This window comes from Homo sapiens, chromosome 14 (assembly GCF_000001405.40).
Source record: "Homo sapiens chromosome 14, GRCh38.p14 Primary Assembly".
In the NCBI taxonomy this organism is placed as follows: Eukaryota; Metazoa; Chordata; class Mammalia; order Primates; family Hominidae; genus Homo; species Homo sapiens.
In genome coordinates, this window is record NC_000014.9 from 65,721,168 (window position 1) to 65,746,525 (window position 25,358).

Here is a 25,358-nt window from a genome sequence, read left to right on the forward strand (position 1 = left end):
TGGTGTTCCTGTGGTGGGGGCAGCGATTGGTTGAGGCTTCTATTCAGCCATCTTGCTTCATCTCCCTCCAATAGATTAAAAAAAAAAAAGATTTTAGAATTATCTAATTTTTTTCTTTAAAAGATGTAGATGATTGGCTTATAATTATAATCTTCAGGTGTTTCCAGAGTCATTGTGTTCTGTCATGAAAGTAATGCAAGAGCAATTTTGCTGTAATGAAAAGCTAGAAGTTTCGAGAACACTTTATTTTCTAATTCCAAAACAACAACAAAAAATAGAACTTTGCTAGCTGGCTGTGTCTACTGTCATTCTTTGATTAGATACTTTGAGTTCTGCATACCATGAGGTGTTGGTATGATAGCATGTTATGATAGAAACTTTTAGAAAAGACCAGAGACTTGAGAGATAGACTAACCTGCATGTGAAATTCACCTCCGTCACTTTTGCTCTGGTATTTCGAGCAAGTTATTTAACTTCCTTTGTAAAGTGAAGATTATACTTCTTTAGAGTTGCTGTGAGGATGAAAGCACTCAGAATAAGTTCTTGTTGAATGGTGGATGTATAAGGAATACCATGTGGTAATGATTATATGTTTCAATATTGTCAGGTGAAGTGAAGGACAAAAATGTTCAAGTGGTCGAGCTTCCCATTGTAGACAGTCTTCATCCCCGTCCTCCATATTTACCCTTGGCTGTACCAGAAGACCTCGCAGATCGACTTGTACGAGTGCATGGTGACCCTGCAGTGTGGTGGGTGTCTCAGTTTGTCAAATACTTGATCCGCCCACAGCCTTGGCTAGAAAAAGAAATAGAAGAAGCCACCAAGAAGCTTGGCTTCAAACATCCAGTTATTGGGTAAGAATCTGATTTTTTCCCTCAAACTGTGATATGTAGTAGTTAGGGTTATGTATCTTTACAATATATTGTGAATTTTACAATATGTAGTTCAATTTTTATAGTCCCACCAAAGGACAGAGGTTCTAGAGCTATCCTAAGGTCACATGGAGACTATTTTTTTTTGTTTGTTTACTTAGAACAGCTAAGAAAGTTGCTTAGTAGTGCTCTATTACTGTCTCCAGTTCTCCTCTTCCTTTGCTTCTTTCTCCTCTTATCACAGCTCTCTTTTGGCTTTTGTTGTTGTTATTTTTGAGATAGGGTCTCACTCTGTCACCCAGGCTGAAGTGTAGTGGCTCACTGCAGCCTCAACCACCCTGGGCTCAAGTGATCCTCCTACCTCAGCCTCCCAAGTATAATAGCTGGGTCTAAAGGCATGTATCACCATGTCCAGCTTCTTTTTATTTTTATTTTCATATTTCCCACCCCACATCTTTCCTTGTGTCTTAGTCTTCATATGTAGAGGAGTTATTGACCCCATTCTAAGTGTTAGACGTAAAGAAGGTACATGTGAAGTCAGAATATCAAATCGTATTTCTTCTCATGTAACTTTTGATTGAAATTCAATGGAATCATTCGTTCTGCCCACTTCATCTCTATAGAGCCCACTGAACAATTCCAATTTCCCCAGAAAAAGAGTGATTATGAAGGATGTGGGAAGGAAAGATGATAGAATAGATGTTCATATGATTGTATCCACATCTGGGTTATAGTCTGGAATGCAAAGCAAAGAATAGCCGTGAAGATGGCAGAGTAACTCTGGTGAAATCAAACCTTCACTCCAGATTCATAATAAAAAACTGGCCTTAAGTTTGGCCCATATACTGTGACCTAAAGGCGTATAAGTCTACCTTTTTCTACATATAAATAGTGATTTAGTAATTTGGGGGGAGGGGAAGGCAAGATTTAAGGAGGGTGTTTTAATTTATGAAAATAAACTGTTATTTTTATTTCCATTAATATTGCTTTGGGGCCAGGCATAGTGGCTCATGCCTGTAATCACAACACTGGGAGGCTGAGGCAAGTGGATCACTTGAGCCCAGAAGTTTGAGAAAACTCAACATAGGCAACATGGTTGAAACCCCATCAATTAAAAAAAAAAAAAAAAGCAAAAATTAGCCAGGCTTGGTGACACATGCCTGTAGTACCAGCTGTTCGGGAGGCTGAGGTGAGAGGATCACTTGAGCCTGGGAGGCAGAGATTGGAGTGAACCATAATCACGCCACTGCACTCCAATGTGTGCAACAGAGCAAGACCTTGTCTTAAAAAAAAAAAAATTACTTTGGAAACACTAAGATGGGAGGAGAGAGGAGAAAACTGTGGAAGTCAGTGCCTTATTCAGTACAGGGAAGTGTGAATCTGTGTCCCCAATTTTACAATTTTGGGGCTTTTCTTAAATATGACAGGTGAAATTAATATCTGCTGTCATTTGATATGGTGAAAAACAGAGAAAGGAAATGCATTATGCCCACAACAGAAGGGCTGGAATCGGTTTCATTTACCTAAAATAGTAAAAACCGTTAAAAGGTTTGCTGGTCTTAACGGTGCTGTAAAAGTTTATCCAGGTCTATGTTTTCCTGGGACAACTTTTAAGTTCTACAAGCTGGCAGTTATGGTGACTCTCCAGGGTAAAATAAAGAGGAAAACCCTTGGTATCAGAACTTTACAAATAATATCTCTAATGTTCTTTAGTAACAACTGTGAATCCTGGTATCATCCTGGTAACAAAAATCTTAAGTTGTATTCAGTTTTTTTCCAGACAGCTGGTTGCTGCCTAGTATGAAATGCAGCTCTGAAATTTCCCATTTATTCCTAAGATGTGAATTATTTTCTCTATAAGAAATCATTCTTCAAAGGCTTTACTTACTTTCTAATTCCCCTTGTATTGTTTAGCCTGCAAATATATTTAGAATATGTATTTTTGAGTTTTTAAAATACTATGTGTTTTACTTTTTCTAATAGTGAAAATGAAAGAAAAATCAGTTAAAAATGCCTATAATGCCACCATAAGTAGGGGTATAAATTGAGTACCCTCAAAGCACCCAGTGTCAGTACATTACCAGTAGAATCTGAATTTCTCCCCCAGAGTCCATGTCAGACGCACAGACAAAGTGGGAACAGAAGCTGCCTTCCATCCCATTGAAGAGTACATGGTGCATGTTGAAGAACATTTTCAGCTTCTTGCACGCAGAATGCAAGTGGACAAAAAAAGAGTGTATTTGGCCACAGATGACCCTTCTTTATTAAAGGAGGCAAAAACAAAGTAAGTTAGACCAACTAGTGATTCTAGAGTGGGGTTGTCTCTTTCAGTTTAAAAGAATTCTTACTTCCCATGACTTGTGATTTTTGTATATTATTATTGCTAATTATTAGGGTTTTAAAAATTCAATGGACTATGTACTTGTGTAACTGTCAGTCTAATCAAAGTGTTTTTATTAGCCATATCCAATAATGCCTTATAAGAAGTCTAAAATGAACTGGACCACTGACTTACGCATTGTCACCAGCAATAATCATTATTATCATTAAAAGTATCACCCTACTTCTTGGTACTAAAATCTTCACTAGTCTGTTGGAGCTGCCATAACAAAATAACATAGACTGAGTGGTTTAAATTACAGAAATTTGTTTCTCCCAGGTCTGAGGCTGGGAAATTCAAGATCAAGATGCTAGCAAGGTAGATTTCATTTTCTCTTGGCTTGTAAGCAGCCACTATTTCACTCTGTGCTCTTGTGACCTCTTCTTTGTGTGTGCAGGGAACAGGAGAGGAAGTGTTCTGATGTCTCCACATATAAGGACACTAATCTCATCATGAGGGCCCCATTCTCATGACCTCATCTAAGCCTAATTATTTCTCAGTGGTCCTATTTCCAAACACCATCACATTGGGGTTAGGGATTCAACATAGGAATTTGTGCGAATGTAAACGTTCAGTCGATAACACTAGCCAGCCATACAGACTGTTAGCAATAAAACCAGGTGCTTATCGTTTTGATTTCACTGTCTTCATTAACAGTTACAGACAACTGAACACATATGTAGAGTTTTGTCTTATAATAATTTGTGGAATTTGAAAGTTATACTAAAGAAAGGTAAGGAATCAAAAAGTAAGTTTTGTAAGTTGAGGAATAAAGACTACTACTGTGTATGGAACAGTAACAATTATTTTTTGAGCTTGCCTGTATTTCAGGCACTGTGCTGGTGCTGGGGATTTCATGATAAACAAGATACTCCCTGCTGTCAAGGAATTCCCAAATCTAATAGGGCAATAAACAATTACCCTACAGTTGAGTAACACTATTATAGGGTTAACATGGGGTATTATGAAAACACATAGATAAAGCACAAATCCTGATTGGACACTTCTTATAGGATCTGAGTAAACCTGGAGTTAGTCTTTATTTACTATCAATAAATGAAGGATGTATTAAATGTATGTAAAAGTAGGAAATTAAGGAGAAGAAAATTCTAGTCTTAGTTCTGCTCAGATACTATCTCCTCCAGAAGTCATCCCTGAACCCTTGACTGGCCTGTGTTCCCCACTCTGTACAGTTCTCTGTTGTAGTGTTTAGCACTTGCTTACTTCTGTCTCCTTCACTAGATTATAAGTACTTTGGACATAATACCTAGCTGTAGTTAAATGCCCAGTAAATATTAAATGGTATTGATTTCAATCCCATCAGTTTGAAAACATTAACACTTAATCATTTAAGCTTTTTGGCTATTTAATTAATGTATTTGTTGTCCCCCATGTTTCAAATGGGGATGAGGAAAATAAATAAATTTAGAATGAGGACTATAATGCAGGTATTAATCTAAGTCATTAGATAATAATTTAAATCCTCTTTCTACCTCTGAAGAATCCAAATGAACCTGAAGCAAATTGCCTTTTTTATTCAAGGCTCCCTCTCTTGAGCATATGCACACACTACCATATACATGCGCGCATGCGTGCACACACACACACACTGAGATGTGTATATATATAAACAAAGGGCAAATAATTCATCAGCCAAGTATAAGAATGAGTTAATGTAAGAGGGATTAAATGAACATTTGGGCACAAAACACAATAAAAAAATGTATAGTTTACCATGTTTCTTCAATTTAAAACACCAAACTGAATTTGTAGCTTGGTTGAAGAAAAAGATACTAATTTTGTCTACTCTTTCACTTGTTCTGGAACGCATCACAAGCTTTTTTCCTTGTTTTCTTGATGAGCAAATTAATTCATGCTCACTTAAAAATATGCAAGTTGGTAAATACCCTATTAGTTCATTTTCACACTGCTGATAGACATACCCCAGACTGGGCAATTTACAAAAGTAAGAGGTTTAATAGACTTACAGTTCCACATCCCTGGTGGGGCTCACAATCTTGGTAGAAGGTGAAAGGCAATTCTCACATGGCAGCGGACTAGAGAAGAGAGCTTGTGCAGGGAAACTCCCATTTTTCAAACCATTAGATCTTGTGAGACTATTCGCTATCACGAGAACACCAGGGGAAAGATTTGCCCCCGTGATTCAATTACCTTCCACTGGGTCCCTCCCACAACACCTGAGAATTCAAGATGAGATTTGGGTGGAGACACAGCCAAACCATATCATTCCACCCCTGGCCACTCCCAAATCTCATGTCTTCACATTTCAAAACCAGTCATACTTTCCCAACAGTCCCCCCGGAGTCTTAACTCATTTAAGCATTAACTCAAAAGTCCAGAGTCCAAAGTCTCATCGAAGACAAGGCAAGTCCCTTCCACCTATGAGCCTATAAAATCAAAAGCAAGTTAGTTGCTTCCTAGATACAGTGGGGGTACAGGCATTGGATAAATACAGCCATTACAAATGAGAGAAATTGGCCAAAACAAAGGGGCTACAGGCCCCATGCAAGTCCGAAATCCAGTGGGGCAGTCGAATGTTAAAGCTTCAAAATGATCTCCTTTGACTCCACGCCTCACAGCCAGGTCACAGTGATGCAAGAGGTGAGCTCCTTTGGCCTTGGGCAGCTCCACCCCTATGGCTTTGCAGTGTATAGCCCCCCTCCTGGCTGCTTTCACGGGCTGTCATTAAGTGTCTGCGGCTTTTCCAGGTGCATGGTGCAAGCTGTTGGTGGATGTACCATTCTGGAGTCTGGAGGATGGTGGCCCTCTTCTAACAGCTCCACTAGGCGGTGTCCCAGTAGGGACTCTGTGTGGGGGCTCTGACCCCACATTTTGCTTCTCTACTGCCCTAGCAGAGGTTTTCCATGACAGCCCCATTCCTGCAGCAAACTTCTGCCTGGGCATCCAGGTGTTTTTATACATCCTCTGAAATCCAGGCAGAGGTTCCCAAACCTCAGTTCCTGACTTCTGTGCGCTCACAGGCCCAACACCATGTGGAAGCTGCCAAGGCTTGGGGCTTCCACCCTCTGAAGCAATAGTCTGAGCTGTATACTTTAGCCCCTTTTTGTCATGACGGAAGCAGCTGGGATGCAGGGCACCAAGTCCCTAGACTGAACACAGCAGAGGAACCCTGAGCCCAGTCCACAATATCATTTTTTCCTCCTAAACCTCTGGGCCTCTGATGTGAGGGGCTGCCACAAAGGTCTCTGACATACCCTGGAGACATTTTCCCCATTGTATTGGTGATTAACACTCGGCTCCTCATGACTTACACAAGTTTTCTGCAGCTGGCTTGAATTTCTCCTCAGAAAATGGGATTTTCTTTTCTGTCACATTGTCAGGCTGCAAATTTTCCAAACTTTTATGCTCTGCTCCCCTTATAAAACTGAATGCCTTTAGCAGCAACCAAGTCACCTCTTGAAATCTTTGCTGCTTAGAAATTTCTTCCGCCAGATACCCTAAATCATCTCTCTCAAGTTCAAAGTTCCACAAATCTCTAGGGCAGAGACAAAATGCTGCCAGTCTCTTTGCTAAAACATAACAAGAGTCACCTTTGCTCTAGTTCCCAACAAGTTCCTCATCTCCATCTGAGACCACCTCAGCCCATACTTTATTGTCCATATCACTGTCAGCATTTTGGGCAAAGCCATTCAACAAGTCTCTAGGAAGTTCGAAACTCCCACATTTTCCTGTCTTCTTCTGAGCCCTCCAAACTGTTCCACCCTCTGCCTGTTACCCAATTCCAAAGTCACTTCCACATTTTCAGGTATCTTTTCAGCAGCACTCCACTTCTTGTACCAATTTACTGTATTAGTCCATTTTCACACTGCTAATAAAGACATACTCAGGACTGGGCAATTTACAAAAGAAAGAGGTTTAATGGACTTACAGTTCCACATAGCTGGGGTGGCCTCACAATCATGATGGAAGGCGAAAGGCGTGACTTATGTGGTGGCAGACAAGAGAAGAGAGCTTGTGCAGGGAAACTCCTGTTTTTAAAACCATCGAATCTCATGAGACTTATTCACTATCATGAGAACAGCACGGGAAAGGTTTGGGGACCCAGCCAAACCATATCATTACCGAATCAAGGAAAAAGTATTATCCTCAATCCCATTTATGTAGTCTCATTTTCTAATACAGTCATGTACCACATAACATTTCAGTCAGCGATGAAACACCTGTATGATGGTAGTCCCATAGATTATAAAACTATACTTTTACTGTACCTTTTCTATGTTTAGATAACACAAATAGTTACCATTGTGTTACAACTACCTTCAGTATTCAATACAATAGCTTGCTGTACAGGTTTGTAGCCTGGGAGCAATAAGCTATTCCATATAGCCTAGGTGGATATATATGTATAGCCTAGGTGTGGTATAGTTGGCTATGCCATCTAGGTTTTTGTAAATACACCCTATGATGTTTGCATGATGATAACATGCCTAATGATGTATTTCTCAGAACATATCCTCGTTGTTAACTGGAGCATGACTGTAGTTGATCGAATTCTATATAATTTAAACTCTTTTCACTTAATACAGCAATAGATCCATTCCCCTAGGTTGCTAAAATAGTCATTGTAAACATGTTTTTTTTTTTTTTTTTTTTTTGCTTTGTCACCCAGGCTGGAATGCGTTGGTGCAAGCATGGCTCACTGCAGCCTCAACCTCCTGGGCTCAAGAAATCCTCCTTCCTCAGCTTCCTGAGTAGCTGGGACCATTGGCATGCAGCATCATGCCCAGCTAATTTTTTATGGTAGAGACGGGATTGCATGTTGCTCAGGCTGGTCTCGAACTCCTGGGCTCAAGCAGTCCTCCTGCCTTGTCCTCCAAAGTGCCGGGATTACTGTCGTGAGCCACCATGCCCAGCCTAAACATCTTTTTTAATGACTACATACATATACGCTGTACAGATATGCCGTTGCTTATTTGACCAACCATTCTTCTAATATTAGGCAGTCAGCTTATTTCCAATGTTTCATTCTTATAAGTAATGCTATGACGTATGCCTAAAATTATCCACATTATTTCCTTAGGCTAGATTTCTGGACTTGGAAGTATTTAGATGCAAGGATATAAACTTTTTTTTTTTTTTTTTTTAAATACAGGGTCCAGGCTGGAGTGCAGTAGCACAATCTCAGCTCACGGTAGCCTCGACCTCCTGGGCTCAATGATCCTCCCACCTCAGCCATCTGAGTAGCTGGGACTACAGGCACATGCCACCACACTCAGCTAGATATAAACATTTTACAGCTTTGATCCATAGCACAGCATGACAGTTTTATACCAAACAACCCTTATAGTACAGTTGGCAGTATCTACTTGGACTGCAAGAATAGTAAAACCAGAATTTCCTCCTTGTAGCCAACAGCTATAACTCCCCTGCCAGTGGTAGTCCAGGCAGCAATTTTCTCCATATTCTGTTATAAATATAGTAGTAGCCTTTTATGCATAATTTTTTCTCTTTGTAAATCCTTTTATTTTTATTTTCGACTTGAGTCGTTTCTCGGGGATTTAAATGATGGGTTTTTTTTCTTTACTCTTTTACTGAAATGTTTTTCTACTCTGATTTAATTCTGCTTTAAAATACTCAGGATTGGTTTTGATACCTAAGCAAATCATAAAAATCTCTGCCATTGTTTTAAGAGACCAAAAGCATGAATTAATCTATTATCAAAGTATATAGTATCCAAGGTAATCATTGTAAGACTTTTCTGCTTCAAGAGGGTGAAGAGATGAAAAATTAAACTTAAATGATGTATAGTGTTCACACAGTCAGAGGTATAGTGTTGACACAGTCAGAGGAGAATCTATTTTCTGTGTTGCTCATTCTTTGAAAAGGGGTTAAAATTAGCTTTATACACATAGCTTCTGTGTGAAGATGATTGGTTAATGCTTTGTGGCTTGGTATTGCACTTCAGATTTCTGCATGTTAAGATTGAGTCCGACCGGACGCAGTGGCTCACGATTGTAATCCCAGCACTTTGGGAGGCCGAGGTGGGCGGATCACTAGGTCAGGAGATTGAGACCATCCTGGCTAACATGGTAAAACCCTGTCTCTACTAAAAATACAAAAAATTAGCTGTTTATGGTGGTGGGCGCCTGTGGTCCCAGCCACTCAGGAGGCTGAGGCAGGAGATGATGTGAACCCGGGAGGCGGAGGTTGCAGTGAGCCAAGATCGCACCACTGCACTCCAGCCTGGGCGACAGAGCGAGACTCAATCTCAAAAAAAAAAATTGAGTTCATCCACAAGATTTTACCACCAGCATCCCAGTGACTGTGGCAGCCATTGCTATTGTGGCGATCTCTTAAGTAGTTCAGTATTACAGTGTTTGAATCACAGAATCATTGACAGTCAAAGAAATAAGAACTATTAAAGTTGGCTATCCAACATTGCATTCTAAGATTGTGGAGATTAGGGATGGGGTTAAAATAGGAAGAAAAACAAGTCTTTAAAAGTTTCCCAGGTAAAATATTTACAAATTGAGTTTATTCTTTATTTTTAAAATGCTGAATGAGTTCTTTCTAAAAGTAGGTACATTGAAATGAATAGAGACAAGAACAATTTGTTAAAAGTTTTTTGTAAAGTATTTGGTTGCCCTGTGAAACAAAGAATCAGCAATGAGTGGTGTATTTGTTCACTATTTTATTGAACTCCTATAATATGCTGGACACAGCACAGAGCACTAGGAATACAAAGTCAAAATATAATGTGTGGCTCCTTATCTCAGGGAGTAACCAACAGGTAGACAATATACATGTAACACATATTACAGTAAATTTAGATACGTCTCCTGAAGGAGTTTATGTACCAGGTACAGTGAAGTCACAAAGAGAAGTATCTCCCTCAGTCAAGAGAAGGACTTCAGAAAAGAACACCAGATATTAGTTTATAACTGCAAGCTAGTCCTTTGTGGATGATATAAAAATAAATTTTTATAAAGTGGAAAAAAAAATTATTATTCCCAGTATCTGAAACCTCAAGGTAGAAGAATTCCTCCACTGACATACTTGAGGGCAAAAGACAAGAAGCATGTTTGTGCAAAAAGTTTCATGCTCATTATGAAAGGTGTACAATTTCCTTCTTCCATTATTTACTTTGTTTTGTTTGTGTGTGTTTTGTTTTGTTTTACACTTAGGTATCCTTTATGAAGCCATAGAGATAGGCCTGAGAGCTCTTTTGCATGTAGAGATGGGCCTGAGGAACTTAGGTACCTTTTTTTAAAAAAATAATGGTAGGGTTTCACTGTGTTGCCCAGGCTGGTCTCGAACTCTTGAGCTCAAGCAGTCTGCCTGCCTCAGCCTCCCAAAGTGCTGGGATTATAGGGATGAGCCACCGCACCCAGCCTTAGGTACCCTTTTGATTTGGTTCCAGAGAGGGCTCTTTTAGTTAGGAAGGCCATTAATGTTAGTGTTACTTCTTGGTAAATTGATCACTCCTTTGTTTCACTGAGCATCCAAATCATGCTGACAAAGTTAGTCTTTATTCAAGGATAAAACCTATGCTGGTTTTATCAGTTCCCCCCTTTCTTTCTCCCTCTAGCATTTCGTATTTCTTTGTTGTTGTTTCTGCTCCATGCCTGGGTATGCAGCTTCCCAAGAATCACATTAAAACTATTTCTGGTTGTTTTCTTTTCCGAACAAATGTGACATTTTCTTCATCTCCTTGATTTTGAGCTGAAGAAGGCAAACTGTCAAAAATAATGAGGCCAGATGGATTTGAACACTGAATAGCAGTCTGAAACAGTGCTCAGAGACTTTGCCTTTACAATCATTATTACAGAGGCAATGAGGGAAAGCTCCTTGGTGGCCATGAAATGAAGAGAAACTGAAACAGCTCTTAGGGGATTAGGGAAAGTCCCAGGCATAGGTAGCACTGACTTGTTCATGTATTTATTCACTCAGCATTGTGTGGAGTGCTAGATGCTGTGATGCAAAGAAAAATAAGTCATGGTCCTAACCTTTTTTGGAATACTGTTTGGAAGACAAACATGTAAACTGACTCCTGATGCTTCAGGGTTTCTATATAAGAACTATTATTCCTTCAGCAAATATTTATTCCTCCTCTATTATATTCCAGATTCTTTTCAAAAGACATCCTGTATGAATACTTTTAAACACACACTATCTCTAGCAAGACTACCAAAATATTACTTGGTGGACATCTATGGAATTTGCTTCCATAAATATTAGAATGGGCTTTCTATTACTGTTATTAGGTAAGAGTAGATGGTTCTTCAAGAAGGATGCAGGTTAAGGGAGACTGTTAGTTCTCACAAATTTTTAAAATATTCATCTCTTAACTTCTTTTTATTATTAACTTGTAATGTCAATGAAGAAGACATTTACAAAGTCTAACCCAAATCTGAATTATCAGAAATTCTAAATTAAAAATTTTAATGAGGTTTTATCACAGTATTTGTATTCTAAAGGAAAAGCTCAGTGACCAAATATGAAAGCAGTTTGAATAAACTCTTAAAAGTCACTCATTACAAAAGGAAAAAGGAGACTTCAATTTTCAGCTATTTCATGAATTGATAAAGGACATTTTGATGTGTGTATGTGTGTTTTATATGATATGCCAATAAAATTTAATATACAGGGCATTCCAGAATGGTTTCTGCCCCACTGATGGACTTCAAATATGTCTCATCAACTACAGTATTAAATGCCATAATTAAAGGTCTCCTTTCTGTGAGAAGCTCTTAGTCAAAGGAGAAAGTCTGCCTTCTGATAGGATACTGTGATATCTATGACCATCTATAAATTAATTTATTTTTTCAGGTACCCCAATTATGAATTTATTAGTGATAACTCTATTTCCTGGTCAGCTGGACTGCACAATCGATACACAGAAAATTCACTTCGTGGAGTGATCCTGGATATACATTTTCTCTCTCAGGCAGACTTCCTAGTGTGTACTTTTTCATCCCAGGTAAGTGTCAGTAGGGCATTTTAAAATAACCAATACTTTTTGGTTGTATAGGAGTCAGAAAAATTATTTGTGTGTCTATGTGTTGTTAATGTTCATTATTGTGACTCAGGTGCAATTTTTCTGATACTCAGTAATGATCCCTTTTGTGAAAGAATGGAAAGATCCCATAACATAGCCATTCACATGCACTAATATTTAGTTGTTTGCAAGTAATGGTTGACTACATCTCCACTGAAGCCAGTTACTGGAGTTGTTTAAAGTACTTGGCTTGTTCACAGCATTTAACAGAAACAACAAGTAATTAAGCTTACTTAATACTTTCTAATTTTGCATATAGTCAATATGTAACCAGAATCCATCCATTTCTACACATCATCGCACTGATACTGAGAGGCTTAAATGCCCTAAATTTTGCCTCAGTTGATTGCTTTATAGAAAAGAGAGTAAATGTAATTCCCTTTCAAGTTCTATTACATTTCTACCAAGTGAGAAACTGTATGTTAAATTTAAGCAATATAATATCACAATCTTTGTTTGAATTTAATTGTTGCAGATGATTATATTTTATGGGTTTGGTGTATGTGTTTTTATGAGGGTCCAGCCAGCTTTGTATGCCCTGTGGAATATCAGGATAACAATATTTATTGTGGATTTTATTCTGTTCTCTCGTTTATGCACATATTATTGGTTAGTTCATTCAACCAGCTGTTAAATGCACTCAAAATTATACTAGGTGCAGAGGAGATTTCAAAGGAGATTGAAGATACAGTTCTTGCCCTGGTCCAGAATCTAATAAGCAAAATACACACATGAAATAACTAGAGAATAATTACCAGAACATATAAATTGGTATAAGATAAATGTATGCTTAAATGCTGAGAAGAAGCGGAGAAAAGAAAATGTGAAAAAAAGGAAAGCCACATCATTTTTACAAGAGTATACTTCGGAGAGTAAAAGGAAATGGAGACTTTCTTATTATATGACAATACACATTGTCATGATGGGATGGCGATATGATTTTTGGAAAGATACCTTGCCAGGCAAAGGTTACAGATTCCTTTAATATGGAATAAGAATACAACTTACTACCCAAAGATAGCTGCACAGAACACGTAGCAGCAATCTTAATCAGAAGGGAAAATGTCTTCAAGTTCCCATGAAGGCATCCACTATTTATGTTTCTCCCTAATTGGGGTGTGGATCCTATCTTTAAGAAACTCATTTCCATTCTTATTGCAAGAAAGGGGCAAGGTTTATAACTACTTGGTTCCTTGCAACTGTTTTTGAGAGTCTGACTATGCATCTGCCTGATCAACAGGTACATGTAACTGGTAACAACCTCCAAACATTCTTGATGCTTATTGTTACAATGAGTGAATCAAGAGTCACTTCCCCAGCTATGCCACCTTCTCTGTAGGCCTGGATTTTAGGCCTGCCTGAAGTCAACTCCTCTAGTCCAGGTTTCTCAACCAAAGCACTATTTTAGACCAGAGAATTCTTTGTTGTGAGGAGCCGTATTCTGCATGTAGGATATTTAGCAGCATCCCTGGCCAGTAAGACCCTCACTTAAAATTGTGACAACCAAAGATGTCTCCAGACATTGCCAGATGCCAGATGCCCCTGTGGAGCAAAATTGCCCTGGTTGAGAACTACAGTTCTAGTCACAAGATTCTAAAGTTAAATAAACATACACATGTCTAAATGTTTACCAACCTCACATGTAGGTAGGCACTGAGACTTACAGGGTTGTACTCATGTTTTGCTTTTCTTCTCCCAATCCTCCTTAGTAATACCATTAGGCTTATTCTGGAATAGAAAGAAAATTTTTTGCTTTACTATTTTTTTTTTCCTTTTTGAAGTTGTACTTTAGAATTTTGGATCCTCATAACTCCAATTTTGACCTACAAATCAGGATCTCTGTCACTTCATGATGGTAGAATTCTGTCTAGGCTTGAGGAGAATATTGTTCTATTACTTTGTTTGGTTTTATGCATAATGTCAACTTCAGTGTATTCAGAACTTGGGTCCAGAGAAGCAATTCATATGAAGAAAGAGTGGTGCTGAGAAGACTTTCTGTATCCAAAGGAATAAGGCTCATACTTATATTTCACATTGTTCCTAAAAACTCCTGGCAGTCAAAGTTTGCCCAAAATAATTTCACTCATTTGAACCTAAGCAAAATTAAAACAGTATTTCATAACCCAAAATAGACTTGAATACCTCAAAATATTTTATGTTAGGATTCACAATAAAAGTTTAACAGTAGAAATACCTTACATTTATATAGTGAGTAGCAGTTTGCCTAATGTGATTACCTCCTTATCATGTACCTTATTTGATGACTAACCGCTGTAGCATTTGAAATTGTAGAGTAATTCCATATTCAGTGATAAATCTTTGAGCTTACTTGCACCTCATTATTTTTCTCAAATATTTTTAGTAAAGAAGTATTTAGTAAAGTTTAATGTTTTTGTAGTGTGAATGAAATTGTTTGCAGGATTATTATGTAGATTCCTTTACATAAACCAAAATTGGAATTGTTTGAAAATGCCCTAGAAATATCTTGCCATCATTGCCAATAGAGCGTGAGAAAAAGTCACTGATGGGATAAAATGCCAAACCATTGACCACTGATCACAGAACAAGAAAGAGGCAACCTGTGCTGTAGAGTCAGGATATCTGTATTTGCATCCAACTTTGACCAATTACTGGCTGTGTGTCCTTGAACAAATTGCTTAGCCTATTTCTTAACTGGTTTATTTTTCTACATGTGAAAAAATAATAGTACCTATAGTATAGAGTCTTTTTGAGGATTAAGGAGTTATGAAAAGTAAAGCACTGCGAATAGTACCTAGCAATACAGTGTTAAACACATTAGCTGCTATTATTATATATATGAATAGTTATAGGAATATCTCTGCCTGTTAGAGACACTCTATAGTATTTATTTTGCAGCTCTTTTTCACATGGCTTCATTTCAGACTGTATGCGCTCACATTTTAGAAGGAGCATGAAACGAGCTAGTCAAGGCCTCCATTAGCTCTGCTTGTGGTTACGGGTAATGCTTAGGGTCCGTAAAGAAGAGGAACTGTTAACATTCAGCATGTACAATTTCTCTGGGCCAATGTACCACCTCAACTTCATTTTGTTTAGCTTATTGAAAGAGAATATTGCCATATGATGCGATTTTTCAGAAACAAAAGTTCTTCATTCCCAAAAGGTGAGTGAAGACTTAGTATTTGAAGTAAATGTGTGTGTGTTGACTTTAGTGAAATTAATCTTCAGACTTTCCTATATATGTCATAAGCATTCTAGAAAATGGAGGAAGACTAAAGCCATACATCCAGAAGAGTGACAGAAGATAAACACTGAGAATAAGTTCAGCCCAGAATAAAAACATGGATAACCAACTCTCAACTTTCTTAGATGATAATTTCATGTGCCAAGAGATGTTAGGAAGTGATCCAAGTTTAATATCTCCTTCATAATTCTTTGACAATCTTTAAGTTTTATTCATGTAAACTTTCTGTCTCCTATACACTATCCTTTCAGGAATTTTATACCATATAACAATAGTGAGAAAGAGTTGACCTGTTGACCATGAGCTATTGTAGACAATACTGCAGGAATGAAATGCCATGCTAGAAGGAAAAATACAAGGCTAGATGTTTGGAAAACTGCAGGCAAAAATGTCATGGGACCTTAATCGGGATTTCTCATAAATTTTTAGACCTATCTCCCTCAGTCTCAGGACTTCTCATCTTTCTTGGTTTTATATCCATAAGTGAGGTCTGGGAATTCTCTCTTCTTCAATGAAAAGGTTTTAAAAGCCAACACTGTGGCTCTGCTCTCTAATTTTGTTACTATTATTGCTGTTAACTTTCATCAGATCTGTTTCTCAAAGCCAAGTTTGTCCTAAAAGCCTCATAAATTGAATAGCACAGTCCTCAGGATTTAATATGAAAATTGGAGGCAATATTAGCATTTTTTTCAAGTACGTCAAGTGAATTTTGAAAGCTATGCAACTACATTCTAAAACGTTCTACCAAATACATTAATCCTATTCTGTGTTACTGGAAATCGCCTATGTGCAAAGCATCTCCTTTGTCACCTATTTTCTTATTTGAATCTTAAATCTAAAGCAAAGAATTTATAGTTGGAGAATAACAGCAGTTGACAGCCCAGTTGTAGATAGGCACAGTATCAGAAAGGTTTTCTGAAAATATTGCTTATCAGGTTCTGGGATCAATTTTTATTTTTCTGAAATCTGACTTAAAAAATGGTTGCAGATGCTCACTTTAAAGACTAACATTGTTAAAGACATTGTTTAAAGAGCAGTTAATGTTACTCTGTAGTTTCAGCCATTAAAAGTTATCATAATACAAAATCCTTTTTTTCCCCCTATGACACCTCCCTTTATGGCAGTTATTACAATACTCTCATGAGCCTCTCTTGGTCTAATTCCAAATCCGCACGCAATTCTACTCCCCTTATTACACTTTGAATCAGATTTTGGAAGCCCAGAGGGCAAAACCAAAAACTACGTTAACTATTCCAGACAGATGGCTCTGGACAGGAATTTCCATTGAGATGTGGCTCATGAAACAACAGTGGATACCTGTTGAGAGTACCATGGAGGAAAGCACAGGGTGAAATCCCAAGGTGTGAACTCTGTGATTACTTCCCAGAGCAGAAGACAAGAAAAGTATTTGCATCCACAGAGGCTCTATCTAGCTTACAATGCTGAGTGCTGTACAGTGCAGCTGTTACTGCATTAATCCTTCTGGTGTTTCTCACAACAAAGAAAAGACCTGGGTCTTATTCTCTTATTGTATAGTAAAACAAAGCAGATTACAGGAAAAGTGCACAGATCTCTCAGCCACTTCCAACTTCTCACACTAGGATATCCTCCTGCCCCTATCTATCTATTTTGACAAAAATAAGATCCCATCTACTCTGAGAAAGCTTTGGAGGCTTATGTAAACTCAGGCTACTTCTAAGGGATGAAATTCAGACTAATGGATTCCTCCCCCTTTTTAAAATTTTTTTTAATACAGTCATATCTGTTTTATCCTTTGGCAGGATTTTTGCTGTTACCCATTACTGTGTGCTTTACGATGTACTAAAAATGATACAGTGCCATGTCAACACAGAATAAAGTTAAACATACTACATGTAGCCAACCACTGCTTTGCAAACCATGGACTGCTCTCAGTCATGCCACCTGTCAAGCATCAAACCTGAGTATGGACGTCAGCTGCAAGCCTTCATTTACCTGCCATGTGATTTGAACTTTTAAACCACGTGGTAGGTAAGGAAAGAAGAGAGGAAGCATAGAGTGACTAAATGCGAACATTAACACTATAGTAATCTTTTTAGCCTTTTGCAGTAAATTGTCCCATGGTTGATATAGACAGTTTTAAAATTACTTCCTCTTAATGTTATATATGGATCTTAAGGGTTAAATATCACCCATGGACTTGTGTCTCCATTACTGGGCTGGTATTATGCCTGGAGCAATATTCATTCAACAGATACTTATTGAGCACGTACTTTGTGGCAGGCATTGTTCTAGGTGTTTATCCTAAGGGAATATATACTCAAGAGCCTGAAAGAGTTCTGACTGTGGCTCTGCCATTAACTAGTTCCTTTTTGGATTTTTATTTTTATTTTTTGAAATTTACTTAATCTTTCTGTGGCTTAGCTTCTTCATCTGTAAAATATGAATAATAATAGTACCTCACAGGTTTGTCATAATAGTTAAATGAGTTGAGACAAGGTGAGGGAAGAGCACACTATTATAACACTGCCTGGGACATAATCGGTGCTCATTAAGTTCAGCTGCTATCTTTAATGGTCATTCTTATGAGAAAAATAAAGGGCCACACCTGTGTAGCACTGGTATGCTTGCAGAGGCCTACAGTCACATTTGTCATTTTTATAATGGGCCACCTCAGTGTCTGAAATCTCTACTATTATTATAATAGTTATTTCTTTGGTTTAAGAAAACAGTTCTGTTATCCACCAAGGTTAACACATGAACAACTCTTGATAGCAAAACATACACTAATTATTAGGATTATCCCCAGAAGAAACAGGTCTCTAAGGGTGTGGGACAGGGTGCGATGTTGTTTTTATGAGAGTAAGACGTTTAAGAGTGGAGAGGAGGAAACACATCACGGTTCATTGTCACAGTAGAGATTGTGGTCATCCTAAGAGTAACACAAGGTCCTGCATTCCTGGCTAGGGATGACTGAAGAGTGGGTGAAGACACCCTGAAAAGAAGACTGTCAGGTTTACCCAAGACTGTCTTTGGTCTTATGCTATATCTTTCTGGTGTTACAATATGAACATGGAGAATAAGATTTACAAGAGAAAATATATATAGCAGTTTCAAGCATATGCAGACTGCCTGGGTTCCAACCTGAATTTACCACTTATTAGTATAACCTTGAGCAATGCCTTAACTTCCCTTTGACATTTGTAAAACAAACATAATGATAGAATTTTATGGGGATGCTGAAAGGAATCTAATTACATTAGATAATGTCTAAAAACAATGTCTGACAGTTAGCAAAAGCTCAGTAAATATTAGCCTCTGTCATTGTTATTGTAGTTTGCTATTATTGGAGCTGCTTTAATTATTTAGTTTCTTCTTTTCCTGAGTCCCACTTAATTTTGCTTGCCTTCTATGAGCCTTTGGCTGAATTTGAAATTCAAAAGTTCCAAATCTTTTTGATCCCTATTTTATTATAGTCTCGGTATTCTACCAATGATCTCAATTGTAAAATGACATTGCCAATATAATCGTTGTTGAACTAATAAATCTGAAAGCAAGGTTTCTATTATTTTGGTTCTATATCTAGTTGAAATTCTATCACTAAAATTTGCATAAATCACTTAATCTCCTTGTGTTTTAGTTGCCTATCTGCAAAATTAAAAATATTGGGGCAAATGTAGTTTCATTTGCAAATTATATATAGCATTTGAGAATTGCCCCTCAAGTTTTCTGAAATTCAGATTCTCTAAGTTGAGGTGATGATTAACCTAGTCAGATTTTATTTGATAAGAGTTAAGAATAGGCATCTCCATTTGTATTAGTCTGTTTTCGCATTGCTAAAAAGAAATACCTGAGACTGGGCAATTTATAAAGAAAAGAGGTTTAACTGGCTCATGGTTCTGCAGGCTATACAGGAAGCATGATGCTGGGGAGGTCTCAGGCAACTTACAATCATGGCAGAAGGCAAACGGGGAGCCAGCACTTCACATGACTGGAGCAGGAGGAAGAGAATTGGGAGGTGCCACATATTTTTAAACAATCAGATCTCACGAGAACTCACTACTGTGACCACAGCATCAAGGGGTGATGGTTTTAACCATGAGAAACCGCCCCCATGATCCAATCACCTCCCACCAGGCCCCATCTCCAACATTGGGGATTACAGTTCACCATGAGATTTGGGCAGGTAACACAAATCTAAACCATATCACCATTCAAGTTTTTAATCTTCATAAATGCCAAGGTTTTAAAAGACTGCCGGGTAGTCCTAAATTGCTCCACTGAGCAGATAAGCAATTACTATGAGTAGCGTCATTTTAAATACATGCAAAACTATTGGTATAGTGACAATAAAGCATTAACTAAGATTACCATAACTGGAGATTTAGGAAAATTTCATCTGAGTTGCATTGTTCTCTTTTCACAATGTATAAATTGCTTAAATTGGGTGATAGTTTAGTTTAACTTTATTACTAAGCATTAACCTCAAGGATTGAAGCTCAGATTGTGGAATTTCACCTGCTATCCAGTGAGCAGAGAGGGTATTCTTTGGACATAGGGACCTTTTAAGTAGCCTTAAAACTATAGTAATCAGGGTGATGCATTTCCTCAAAGGCTTGCCCAGTTTATGTCATCCAAGCATGCCACTCTCTACACAGCACACTTAAAACTTTTTAGAACAGAAATTGCCGATGTGTTTTAGCTCACTTGCCAGTGCTTGTTGATTGTCAGTAATTACATGAATCTCTCTTGAAAACAGTTCTGGGAGCGGGGAGGGATAGCATTTGGAGATATACCTAATGTTAAATGACGAGTTACTGGGTGCAGCACACCAACATGGCACATGTATACATATGTAACTAACCTGCACGTTGTGCACGTGTACCCTAAAACTTAAAGTATAATTTAAAAAAAAAGAAAACAGTTCTGACACCAAGTTATAAATTAGCAGATGAGAATGTGTGATTGATTAACAGTGTATGAAGGAAAGGGACCATCAGCATTTATTTGTGTTAAGTTTTTTTATCCTAATCCTAAACTTCAAATTCTTTAAGGGCACAAACTATGTCTTACTCATTTTGGTATCATGAGTGCCTAGCTTGGACCACTGTGTATGTAGCTCTTAATAAATGTTTGTTAAAATTAACTAATTCATATTCTTAAATTCTTTTGTACTATATAGAGATAGAGAGATTTTAATTGTAATAATCTTTCGTGAGTTTTTCTTCTTTATTTGAAAAAGGATCCAGACACAGAGATGAAGAATGACTTGTACCATCTTCTGAGAACAAATGGACTGAAAGCTTGTGACTAGAATCCACTACTTTTCAACCTCTTACTCCTAGAGCCCATCCTTTTGGCCAAGGGCTTTTAGATTGCTGTGAAGGAGAGTGTTTATATACTAACAATTTCTTTTAAATTCTTTCCCAAGGTCTGTCGAGTTGCTTATGAAATTATGCAAACACTACATCCTGATGCCTCTGCAAACTTCCATTCTTTAGATGACATCTACTATTTTGGGGGCCAGAATGCCCACAATCAAATTGCCATTTATGCTCACCAACCCCGAACTGCAGATGAAATTCCCATGGAACCTGGAGATATCATTGGTGTGGCTGGAAATCATTGGGATGGCTATTCTAAAGGTGTCAACAGGAAATTGGGAAGGACGGGCCTATATCCCTCCTACAAAGTTCGAGAGAAGATAGAAACGGTCAAGTACCCCACATATCCTGAGGCTGAGAAATAAAGCTCAGATGGAAGAGATAAACGACCAAACTCAGTTCGACCAAACTCAGTTCAAACCATTTCAGCCAAACTGTAGATGAAGAGGGCTCTGATCTAACAAAATAAGGTTATATGAGTAGATACTCTCAGCACCAAGAGCAGCTGGGAACTGACATAGGCTTCAATTGGTGGAATTCCTCTTTAACAAGGGCTGCAATGCCCTCATACCCATGCACAGTACAATAATGTACTCACATATAACATGCAAACAGGTTGTTTTCTACTTTGCCCCTTTCAGTATGTCCCCATAAGACAAACACTGCCATATTGTGTAATTTAAGTGACACAGACATTTTGTGTGAGACTTAAAACATGGTGCCTATATCTGAGAGACCTGTGTGAACTATTGAGAAGATCGGAACAGCTCCTTACTCTGAGGAAGTTGATTCTTATTTGATGGTGGTATTGTGACCACTGAATTCACTCCAGTCAACAGATTCAGAATGAGAATGGACGTTTGGTTTTTTTTTGTTTTTGTTTTTGTTTTTTCCTTTATAAGGTTGTCTGTTTTTTTTTTTTTAAATAATTGCATCAGTTCATTGACCTCATCATTAATAAGTGAAGAATACATCAGAAAATAAAATATTCACTCTCCATTAGAAAATTTTGTAAAACAATGCCATGAACAAATTCTTTAGTACTCAATGTTTCTGGACATTCTCTTTGATAACAAAAAATAAATTTTAAAAAGGAATTTTGTAAAGTTTCTAGAATTTTATATCATTGGATGATATGTTGATCAGCCTTATGTGGAAGAACTGTGATAAAAAGAGGAGCTTTTTAGTTTTTCAGCTTATTTACTTTGTTTTTTTTCCTGTTTCTGATATAGTAACTAATTCTTAACTCAGAGACATTGGTCCATTTTAATACTGAAAACCAATTTTCATTGGTACACATTACAAAATTGCTAAGAACACTGTTTGGGAGCTTTCATTCTCATATTTTGGACATTGTTTTAATTGAGTGAAATAATCATAACTCCTTGCTCCCAGAGAAGCTATCACCTCCATTTCTAAAACCATTTCAGGTTTGTTTGGTAGTCTTTCTTAATGTATTTATTATCGCTTTTTGTGAGTAGGGTCCTGTTTTATCCAGGAACCAATTTCTGCCCTAGCCTATCATGCCCTGCTTTTGAGAGTACCAGGTATCTTTGGGATTGGGAAGCTGGCTGTTTCAGAAGTATATGTCTCATAGTGTGCAGAACTTGGTGACCAAGTGAGAAGCGGGACCAATGGGAGACTCACAATGGACTGAGTCTTGGGATTATCTTTTCCAAATTCTTCCATGTTAGAATCACTTCAGAAAATAAGACTTTGATGCTTTGTCTCTGAGCATCATTTTTCTCCTCATAAAAACACTTCCTTATTGTATGTAGCCTGCCTCCTACAGAGGCCTGGTAGGTGTTACTGCATTCTAAAAGAAAAATGTCATCTCTGTAGGAGCGACTATCAGGCCTAGTGTGAAATATTAGGGATCCTAGGCAGAAGAGCTATTAGTCCTGGCCTTCATATCTTCACCAAATGAAAATACTGTATATAAAATTTCACCACCAAACTTAACTAAATTCTTTTTCTCAAGTCAAGCCTCCCAAAGAAAAAAGAAATTAACTTCCTACAGTGTCAGCAAGCAATTTTCCATTTAGTTTTGGTACAAATAAAAGTCATTTGAAACAATCTCCAACTGAGCGGAGGTAATTTTGATTATGAGTTATTTTGCAACTCGCATCTCACATGTCATTGGAACATCAGTAACTGTGGATCTGATTTGTGCCCTTATAGAAGATCCAAAGGTAAATTAAGTTAGTCTCTTTTCCTTCTAAATTGACCGAGTTCCAGGGGTGAAAGGACCAAAGAACAGAGATACGAAGGAAATAAATTAAGGAGTATTTCCCAAAGGGAGTCTTCAACTGAAGAGTTAATTTTTGACATTTTATCATTTGGTTCTAGAATTTCTCCCTAATTCTTTATATTTCTCTACTGAGATTTTTTTATTCACTACATGCATGTTTTCATTGAACATAACTATGTAGTGAATAAAACTATGAACCTTGAACATAACAGATGAACATAACTATGAACATAACCGAACAAAACATTGAACATAACTATATAGTGAATAAAAAAATTATTTGTTCTCAGTAGAGAACACATAAATAAAAAAATTATGTGTTCTCAGTAGAGAACACATAACTATGTTCAATGAGTTTAAATTATGCTTTAAAATTCTTTTCTGGTAAATTTGACATCTGGATAATCTTAGAATTGGTCTCCATTGTTCCTCTTTACAGAATGGTCAGATTTTGGGGGGAGGTCCCTCATATATTGAGTGATTTAGATTGTGTCCTGAACATTGTAATGTTTATGTTGTAGATTCTGTTATATTGCTCTGAAAAGTGCTGTGATATATACATATACACACATAAATATACATATACACAAAAATATATATATACAACATTTGTGTATTACATTTGTGTGTATATATAGACACACAAATATATATATACAAATATATACACACACAAATATATATATATTGTGTATGTGTGTGTGTATATATATATATTGCTTGTGTTAGCAGGCATTTAACTTTATTGGACTCAAACTGTAAACTCTCTTGGGCAGCAGCTGAAAATCTCAATTCAGTTAGCTGGAGTCTATGCTGCACATAGTTCAGGGCTTAGCCAGAGAGATGGATAGAATTTATGCACAGAATTTGTGGTGCTTTTTCTTTGGCTCTCTTTCTTCTGAGATTTCCCCCCTCATTTTCCAGCAGCTGTGGTTGCTCTGATTCTTAGACCAGAAAAACTGCAGTTTTCTTTCAGCCCAAAAGCTGTACAATGGGAAACTCACCTTGTGCCATTCCCTTCTTTAAAATTTCAATCTCTTTTCAGAACTTGCCTGTTTTTATTGTCTCCTACCCTCATGTATTTTTTGTATTTTTTTGAGAGTTTATGGTTGTTATTCGTTGGAATATTGGTTCAGTGGGTGCTTACTCCACCATTAACTTAAAATGAAAAAACAGCAGGGGAGAGGACAGGTTTAGTCTTGTGAAACCCCTGTTGAGACTTTGGCCTCAATAGCCAAGTAGCCAGTAGCCTTACGTAAGAAGATGAAGAAGTAACCAAACTGTTAAACCTGCTCTTGTGAAGGGCTAATGAATACTGTTGACCACATCTTTCTAAATCGCCTTTGTAATCATCACATACATGATGGTGATTCATTCAATACATGTTGCCGTGTTGAGAAGGCTGACATTTTTCTTACCACTATTGTAATTTCTCCATAAAGCCCTGGTACTTAAAAAATCCTGCATGATTTTGAATTGAGTGGCCAGTGCTAGGTTAGGATTTGGGTCTTTTCCTTGTTGAAAGACCTATTTCTGAGAGACTTGCCTGGAATTAAATTATTATCGTGGGCTCATTGAATGTGGGTAACAAAATCCTGCTTATTAATGACAAAGCAATTACGAAAGATCTCACCAAGGCTTTCCTAGTTCTTCCACTCAAGTCTGATTTAGTGCTCAGCTGGGCGCTTAACGAATTCATGCCTGTTGTGAAAGCCCTAATCCAGGATTTCATTGTACCTAAATGAGTAAGAGACTAGTTCCTTTTCTGTTCAAGCTTTAGGTTTTTGTTGTTGTTGTTATATAGAGGCAATCCTGTTTACTGGGTTCCCTCTTTGTAAAGTTGAGAAGATGAACAGCCCCAGCTTCTAAGGGAGTTGAGAGTTAAAAGAGAAAAAAAAGCACATTTTAAAAGCTACCTCATACAATGATTATTGTCATTATTATTTGGTTCTGAGAGGATACAGTCACTGTGTATTCGGTGAGCAGGAAAAGTGTTGGGGTCTAAACGGTGCATCTAGAAGAGTCTCTTCTGCCTCAGTGAGAGCAAATCTCTCAGGGGAAAAAGACAAGTCTCCTTTGGCCATAGCCAATTGCCCGATACTTCATTTATGCTCTCAGGAGACTGTGCATTAGGTTCCATAGACCTGCACAGAATAGACATGTGGCTTGAGGATTGGTGAAATTGACAACTTGGCTACAATACCCTAATTTATGTCAGATACAGACTGT

The 25,358-nt window shown here is 37.6% G+C and overlaps 1 protein-coding gene across 13 annotated transcripts in view, besides 1 other annotated feature; it reads left to right on the top strand.

Annotated features, from left to right (window-relative positions):
* FUT8 (fucosyltransferase 8) overlaps positions 1-22,954 on the top strand; it is a 387,280-nt gene extending 364,326 nt beyond the window's left edge. For 12 of the 13 annotated variants that reach the window (XM_047431179.1, XM_047431177.1, XM_047431181.1 and 9 more), the window contains 4 exons: positions 608-854; positions 2,980-3,156; positions 12,064-12,214; positions 20,926-22,954. In XM_047431179.1, coding sequence (XP_047287135.1) covers positions 608-854; positions 2,980-3,156; positions 12,064-12,214; positions 20,926-21,243 — 893 coding nt within the window. In that variant the 3' untranslated portion in view covers positions 21,244-22,954. The remainder of the gene's footprint in view (positions 1-607; positions 855-2,979; positions 3,157-12,063; positions 12,215-20,925) is intronic. The other variant, NR_038167.1, reaches the window with a different exon arrangement.
* Positions 24,137-25,098: an enhancer, noted in NCBI's record as "NANOG hESC enhancer chr14:66212022-66212983 (GRCh37/hg19 assembly coordinates)". NCBI's record gives its function as "activates a minimal SCP1, AML or CMV promoter by ChIP-STARR-seq in primed H9 embryonic stem cells {active_cell/tissue: H9 hESC(primed)}" and the evidence as "EXISTENCE:reporter gene assay evidence [ECO:0000049][PMID:30033119]".